This window comes from Homo sapiens, chromosome 1, assembly GCF_000001405.40.
Source record: "Homo sapiens chromosome 1, GRCh38.p14 Primary Assembly".
Classification (NCBI taxonomy): Eukaryota; Metazoa; Chordata; class Mammalia; order Primates; family Hominidae; genus Homo; species Homo sapiens.
In genome coordinates this window covers 203591909-203600247 of record NC_000001.11, presented here as the reverse complement: position 1 = coordinate 203600247, position 8339 = coordinate 203591909, and the positions used below count along the sequence as shown (strand labels likewise).

The 8339-nt window shown below is 49.9% G+C and overlaps 1 annotated feature.

The window, feature by feature from the left end:
* Positions 6372 to 6521: a silencer, noted in NCBI's record as "silent region_1721". NCBI's record gives its function as "represses an Ori minimal core promoter by ATAC-STARR-seq in GM12878 lymphoblastoid cells {active_cell/tissue: GM12878}" and the evidence as "EXISTENCE:reporter gene assay evidence [ECO:0000049][PMID:35858748]".

The window sequence follows — 8339 nt, the reverse complement described above, 5'->3', positions numbered from 1 at the left end:
GGTGAAGAGAGTGACCTCTGGTCATCCTCACTGCTACACTCTCACCAGTCCCATGACAGTTTACAAATGAAATAGTCATAAAAATGGGCAACTAGCAGCCCTCGGGGCTGCTCAGCCTATAAAGTAGCCATTCTTTATTCCTTTACTTTTTTTTTTTTTAAGTGAAAGCAAGTTTATTAAGAAAGCAAAGGAATGGCTACTCCATAGGCAGAACAGCCCCTTTACTTTCGTAATAAATTTGCTTTCACTTTACTGTATGTATTTGCCTCGGATTCTTTCTTGTGTGAGATCTAAGAACCCTCTCTTGGGATCTGGATCCAGAGCTGGTTGGACTGGGAGCTGGTTGGACTGATGGGACATGGGGGAGCCCTGGAAAGAGGGGAGGAGGTGGTGAAGCCCCAGCGTCAGGGAGGAGAAGCAGGAACTGGGGAACTGTCCTAGAGATATATGGGAAATTCGGTACATTTTGGTTAAAAATCTAAAATTATGCCACCATCATATGAAACTAAGTTTGCTTTCACAGCAACTACTTTTTTTTTGTTTGTTTTTGAGACAGAATCTCGCTCTGTTGCCCAGGCTGGAGTGCAGTGGCATGATCTCAGCTCACTGCAACCTCCGCCTCCTGGGTTCAAGCAAGTCTCCTGCCTCAGCCTCCAAAGTAGCTGGGATTACAGGCGCCCGCCACCACGCCCGGCTGATTTTTGTGTTTTTAGTGGAGATGGGTTTTGCCATGTTGGCCAGGCTGGTCTTGAACTCTTGGCCTCAAGAGATCTGCCTGCCTTGGCCTCCCAAAGTCCTGGGATTACAGGCGTGAGCCACCATGGCTGGCCCACAGCAACTACTTTCGAGGCATAGCTCTGGCCCTTTTGAGATATGAGGCGAAGCTCTGATCAGCCCCACTGACTGTGTGGGGTGGGAGGGTCTAGGGGAAGGAGAAAGGGCTGGGTGTGCTTTGCTGTGTAAGTCAGCAGTACTTAGTAGCTGCTCAGTAAACATTTGTGGGTGGTGATGTGGGCAGGTGTGTTGAGAGCCTGGAGAGCAAGAAACTGAACTCACCTCTTCCTTATCCCATTCCCCCTTTCTCCTAGGCTCTGGGAGGGAGAAGTGGACAAGGAAAGAGAGAAAAAGGAAGACCCAGTGAGAGAACAGGAGATAAATGAGTCTTGTCACCCTTCTGCCAGGCTCCACAAGAGCGGAACAGCTCCTGTGCCCTATGGGAAGATCAGCCATTATTTATGAGCTTGTCTGGAGGGGGCTATGCTGGAATATCTAGCTTTGCTCCCTCTCCCCTCAGCTGGGGAGGGGGTGTTGGGAGGAGCTTGTGTTGTCTGAAGGCTTGTGCCTTCTTAAAGGCACAGAGGCCCTTGTGGGAGCCTGGGGCGTCCAGCCACCCTGAAGCCTGCGCAGCTTCCCAAGTAAAGGAAAGAGAGGAAACTCAGACCTACTGCAGAGCCAACTCCATGATGGGGAAAGATCCTGAGACACTGGCTTGAAGGCAGGAAGGAACTTGGGGTTTCTGTGTACCTGAAGTCCTCAGAGACTGTCTCAGAGCTTCAGAACCCCTCCTGGTGCTGGCCCCACACAGCCAGCAGGGGACATACCAAGAATTAAAGGCTGGGAATATGGGGAATGGGTGGAGGCCTGAGAGAAAGGAGAATGGAAATAAAAAATGTCTATATCCCAGGTTTGGGTTCCTATGGCTGGTCCAGCCTCATTTATGGTTGGAGAGGCAATAGCTGAGGGTCCAAGACCCAAAACAAGGAGCCCAGGCAGAAAAGGGGGAGAAGGAGGGGCTGAGAGAGGTTTAGAAGGGAGCAGCAGTTAGAAGAGTTGGATGGGAAAGGAAGGGAGAAGCTAGAATAAAGCGATGGCTAAACAGTGGACATTGAAGACAGAGGAGGGGGTTCCAGGGATAAAAAGCAAGGCCAAGCAAAGCTAAAGGTGAGGTTGGAGAGCAAGAGGGACAAGATGGTGACAGAGACAGGAAGTGGGGGCCACAGAGCTCCTACAAGGCAGGAAAAGAGAGACGAAGGGAGCAACGGGCCAACAAAATCTCACAGGCTGGTGAGAAGAGGGGAACGGAGAAGGAACTCAGGCCTGGAATCTGGCAGGGGAGGGAAGAGTGGAGGTGAGAGGGCCAGAGAGGGAGGGCATTCATGCCAGCAAAGGAGAGACTGCTGCTTTTTTTCTTCTTTTTCGTTTCAACCGCTATCAATAATACATTCCCAAGGAGCCGCCTTTGACAGCAATTAAAAAAGCATTTATGCTCCCAAAGAGAAATTGAAATGATTTCCTCCCACTTCTCTACGCTCTCTGGGCAACGGTCCCTAGCGATGATCTCCCTGCTGGTGTGCAGTCCAAACCGGGGACACACGAAGGAGGGGGATGGAGAGGGGCCAGGGAAGATTCTCCACCCACCTCCCCAGAGGGAGAATATCTGAATGTTTTATACCAGCTCTGTGTGTGGGGGTGGCTGTGGGGACATGGGTGGATGCAGAAGCTGGGGATTTCAAATATGGCATGAAAACACTTTACTGATGATCCCATCTCAGTGCGGATGAAAGGGAGGCTGGCCGCCTCTTCAGCCTGCTGGCTGGAGGTGACCCTTGTGTCTTTGCTAAAGCACCAAGAATCTAGGAGGCTGAGCTGTGAGGGACACTTTCCAGAGCTGCTTTCAATTCAGCAGACCTTTACCAAGCAACTGCTGTGTGCCAGGACCTGCGATAGGTGGTGAGGGTGTTCCCGAAATGAGTGAGACAGGCTGTCTGTTTTCCAGAAGCTTATTATCTGGTGGGTAAGGGATGCACGCACAAAGAACTAGATTGCCAGGCAGATGGCATAAGGAGCCATTAGGAGTGCAATAAAGCAATAGAGGAGGGGGAAGGAAGGAAAGAGGGACAGGCCAGTGGGAGACCTCCTCCCCAGGATTGGGGAACAAGGAAAATGATCATTTCTCTATCGTTTAGTAACCCTCTAAGCCAGGCTTCATGCTGGGCACTTTATATATATATATTACCCCTTTGACTTGAACCCTGGCAGCTACTTTCCAAGAAGGCAAGCACTTTCACAGACTAGGAACCAAGGCATAGAGAGGCTACCTTGCTTGAGATCGCACAGCTGGGAAGTGACAGACAGGATAAAAGGCACCAGTCTATTCTTCCCCCATTTGATTCTGCCTCACTTTGGGAGTGTTTAATTCCAGAGCCTATTTACTCAGCAGTTTCATGTCTAGAAATTTATCCTACAGATGGCCTTGCACATGTGCAAAATGACACTATACACAAAGTTTCTCACTGTCACATTCTTTTTAATAGCAAAAGATTGGAAACAACCTAAACATCCATCATAGAAGCCTGGTTAAATGGATTTGTCAACAATGGAATACTCTGCAGTCATCAAGAGAAATGAAAGACACTTTATGTCTGGATATGGGATAATCCCCAGAACTCATTGTTTAGTACAAAATTCAAGCACAGAGTGATGTGTATAATATCTTGTCATCTGTGTAGAAAGAGTGAGGGAAGGAATATTTATGCAGAATTACTTGTTTTGCATAATGTATATATGGAAGGACATTCAGGAGATAGTAACATCAGTTGCTTTATTTTTTTATTTTTTTTTGAGACGGAGTTTCGCTCTTGTTGCCCAGGCTGGAGTGCAATGGCACGAACTGGGCTCACCGCAACCTCCGCCTCCCGGGTTCAAGCGATTATCCTGCCTCAGCCTCCCGAGTAGCTGGAATTACAGGCATGTACAACCATGCCCAGCTAATTATTTTTTTGTATTTTTAGTAGAGACGGGGTTTCTCCATGTTGGTCAGGCTGATCTCGAACTCCCGACCTCAGATGATCCACCCACCTTGGCCTCCCAAAGTGCTAGGATTATAGGCGTGAGCCACCGTGCCCGGCAACATCAGTTGCTTCTGGGAAGGGTGAGTATATGCTTGGGAATCAAGACTGGAAGGAAGGCCGGGCGCAGTGGCTCATGTCTATAATCCCAGCACTTTGGGAGGCCAAGGTGGGCAGATCACCTGACGTCAGGAGTTCGAGACCAGCCTGGCCAACATGGTGAAACCCCGTCTCTACTAAAAATAGAAAAATTAGCCGGGCATGGTGGCACACGCCTGTAATCCCAGCTACTCGGGAGGCTGAGGCAGGATAATCGCTTGAACCCAGGAGGCGGAGGTTGCGGTGAGCCCAGATCGTGCCATTGCACTCCAGCCTGGGTGACAGAGCGAGACTCTGTCTCAAAAAAAAAAAAAAAAAAAGGAGACTGGAAGTCCTTCCTTCCTTCCTTCCTCTCTCTCTCTCTCTTTCTTTCTTTCATCTCACTTTGTCGCCCAGGTTGGAGTGCAGGGAAGCGATCTCAGCTCACTGCAACCTCTGCCTCCTGGGTTCAAGCAATTCTCCTGCCTCAGCTTCCTGAGTAGCTGGGACTACAGGCCTGCACCACCACGCCTGGTTAATTTTTGTATTTTTAGTAGAGACAGGGTTTCGCTATGTTGGCCAGGCTAGTCTTGAACTCCTGACCTCAAGTTGGCCTTGCTGCTGCCTTGGCAATCCTGCTGCCTTGGCCTTGCAAAATGCTAGGATTACAGGCATAAGCCAAGACTTTTAATAAGATAATTTTTGGTAACTTATAAATTATTTGAACATATGACTTATTAAAAACAAAGAATAACAATTAAAAATAGGCTGGTGTAGTGGCTCACGTCTGTAATCTCAGCACTTTGGGAGGCCAAGGTGGGAGCATCACTTGAGGCCAGAAGTTTGAGACCAGCTTGGGCAACATAATGAGACCCCATCTCTACAAAAAATTATAAAAAGTAGCCAGATGTGGTGGTGTGTGCCTGTAGTCCCAGCTACTTGGGAGAGTCACTTGAGCCTGGGAGTTTGAGGCTGCAGTGAGCTACTACACTCCACCCTGGGCGACAGAGCAAGACCCTGTTTCTATTGAAAAAGAAAAAAAAAAGTAACAGCCTGGGCAACATGGCAAAACCCTGTCTCTACCAAAAATACAAACAATTAGCCAGGCATGGTGGCTTGCATCTGTGGTCCTAGGAGGCTGAAATGGGAGGATCACTTGAGCATGGGAGGCAGAGGCTGCAGTGAGCTGAGATCGTGCCACTGCACTCCAGCTTCGGTGACAGAGTAAGACCCCATCTAAAACAAAAACAAAGCCAAACAAAATGTAAATTTCCTGGCCTAGTCAAGATGCAGTCTGTTTTGTTTTGTTTTTAATTTAATTCACAAGAAGGAATGCAGTCCTAATGAGTAGGAAGGCTTACAGGGAGCAGCATAGTGGAGAGGTTGTAGAGATTAGCTTTAGAAAGACCTGGGTTTGGGATCTGGCTCAGTGGCTCACGCCTGTAATTCCAGCACTTTGGGAGGCCGAGGTGGGTGGATCACCTGAGGTTGGGAGTTCAAGACCAGCCTGACCAACATGGAAAAACCCTGTCTCTACGAAAAATGCAAAATTAGCCGAGCGTGGTGGTGTGTGCCTGTAATCCCAGCTATTCGGGAGGCTGAGGCAGGAGAATCAATTGAATTCAGGAGGTAGAGGTTGCAGTGAGCCTAGATCACTCCATTGCACTCCAGCCTGGGCAGCAAGAGCGAAACTCTGTCTCAAAACACACACACACACACACACACACACACACACACACACACACAAGAAAGACCTGGGTACACTGCCACTCACTAGCTACAAGTCTTCAGACAAGTTACTTAACCTTGTTGTGTCCCATTGGCTCCTTTTTTTTTTTTTTGAGTCGGAGTCTTGCCTTGTCACCCATAGCACAATCTTGGCTCATTGCAGCGTCTGCCTCTCGGGTTCAAGCATTCTCCTGCCTCAGCCTCCTGAGTAGCTGGGATCACAGGCACGTGCCACCCCACCACACCCAGCTAATTTTTATATTTTTAGTAGAAACAGGGTTTTACCATGTTAGCCAGGCTTGTCTCGAACTCCTGACTTCAGGTGATCCACCCGCCTCGGCCTCCCGAAGTGCTGAGATTACAGGCATGAGCCATCGTGCCTGGCCCCCACTGGCTCATTTGTAAACAAGGATACACTTTCCTCATGAATTCTTTTAGTGAGGAAGTTATATGATGATGTAGGTGTGTGCTTAGCAGAGGGGCTCTGTGCTAAGTCCTCAGAATGTGGCAGCTGTAACCACCTGGTCCCTGGAAAAACCCAAGGGAAGGAAAGCCTGAGTGTTGCTCATGTCTGACTAAGCTTAGGGAGGCCTTGCTGATTCTTGAAGGCCTCAGGGCCTCCCAGAGTGTATCTGTGCTGCTTGACCGTCTATGACGTTGTCCTAGTTACTGGTGGATGGAAGGAAGTGTGGAGATCACCAGGCAAAGATCACTGGCTCACTAGTGGCAACCCTCTTGCCTGACAGAGTTGGCCTCTATTAGGAACTGCTATGCCCCACCTGGTGGCAAGAAACCCCAAGGGCAGCCGCGGCCCTGCACAGACCTAAAGACCTTCTCAGTCTTCTCCTTTCTTGCATCCAGCTTTGAATCATCTTCAAAGACCTTTGTATCCAGCCCAAAGGCGGAGATACCTTTCCTGTGATGGTTTGTGAGAGCTATGTCAGAGGGTGAGAGGGGCTGAGCGGTGTCGGGGCAGTGTGGTAGACTAGAGTCAGAAGACCTGCGTCCACACTGGGAGCTCCAGATCAATTGCTCCATCTGTAAGCCTCAGTTTCCTCACCTGTATAATAGAGATCCACCTGTGAAGATCAAATATCTGGTAAAACTGTGAGTGTGGAAGCAGGAAAGCTGCAGAAATCTTGCCTTTGTCATTCTGGGTGGTTTTTACAAACATTGTGGAGACTGATAAATGAGTACAGAAGCCCTCAAACCAGTCTCCTGAAACCCAAACAAGATCAGCCAGGGGCTTCATAGCGGCGTGATGCCAGCATGGTGGGTGCTTCTGCTGCTTGGGGGGCCTAGGGGTGGGCAGGTGAGCAGTGTGTGGGAAAAGGAGATTGAGTGGTCAGCTGCAGTGATTTTTCTGGGAGTTTTCTCCACTCACTCAACAATCAAGAATGGGTATGCCTTTATTGGCTCCAAGAAAAGATAAGACATGAGCAGCCCCATTCTTGAGAAACCTTCAGAGGTCATTTGGTCCTTTAGCACTTACGGAGCCACTTGTGAAAAGGGCTGCGAGAGACGCCCAAGATGGATCAGCCATGGTCCCTGCTATCCAGAAGCTTGTAGAGGAAGGAAAGCTACTTCACAGCACACAGGCTGAAATTTCATAAGAGGAAATGACCATTGTGCCAGTTGATCATGTGAGAATGGACGGAATGTAGGGGGATAAGTAGTAAGAGCCAGGGAGGCTTAACCAAGAGAGACTTCCTGAGGAAGACGGAACCTGGACCAGAAGCAAGAGGCCACTCTGAGAAGAGGAGGGGTGACCCAGGTAGAATGCTGGAGAGCAGGGTCTCCAGGAACATGATGTATAAACATCTGGAGAGGAGGGGGCTGCTGGTGGGTGGCCTGGAGCCCTGGAATGCAAATAGACTGCTCTCCAAAGTCCCCACCAGCCAGACAGCTGTGGTGCTGCCTTGTACCCTGGGAGTGAATAAGTTGCTTCTTATTCTCCTCCCAGCCCCCAACTTCCCTGCCCCCCACCCCATCCCCCAGCCTTACTTAGGGATTTCACCTGGTCAATCACCAGAGTCAACAGGCAAGAGCTATGAACCTCAGGCAGGAATGGGAGGAGCTGTCAGAATGAGATGTGAGGCCCCAGGCATGAGGGCTGGAGTCTCAGGGTCTGGCCAGCTCCCGGCTCCTGTAAGCCTCAGCCCAGCCAGAGACGCCAGGCACCTGGGCCCGGCACGGCTCCTCACTTGCTTTGTGTCTGAGTTGAAACCCGCCCACGCTGGGGATGGCAACTCTCTGCCTCTGTCTGCTGGGCCTCCCTGTGGAAGCTAGGCCTGGTGGCTTCACATAAATATTGATTGTCTACTCAGCCATCCCGGCAGGGAGAGAGAGGCCAGGCAGGAGGGGGAGCCCGATCAGGCAGCACTGGATGAATGGAGTCCTGATGTGAGGGAGCTGGGGGGATGCCAGAGGCTAACAGAGGAGAGGCAGGAATCCTAGGGTAGAGAATTCCCCAAGAGGGATAAATGCCAAGTTCAGAATAGCGGTCACCTGGGGAGGAAGAGGAGCATAAGCAGGACCTTCGGGGGTGGCAGCAGTGGTTTACTTAAGCAGGGCTTCACACTCATTAATGCTATTCTTTGTATCTCTTTGTATGTCTGAATCGTTTATAATACATTTGTACCTAGTGACCTGTAGAGGTCCTGTCTTCCTTCCCCCAGCCTCTAG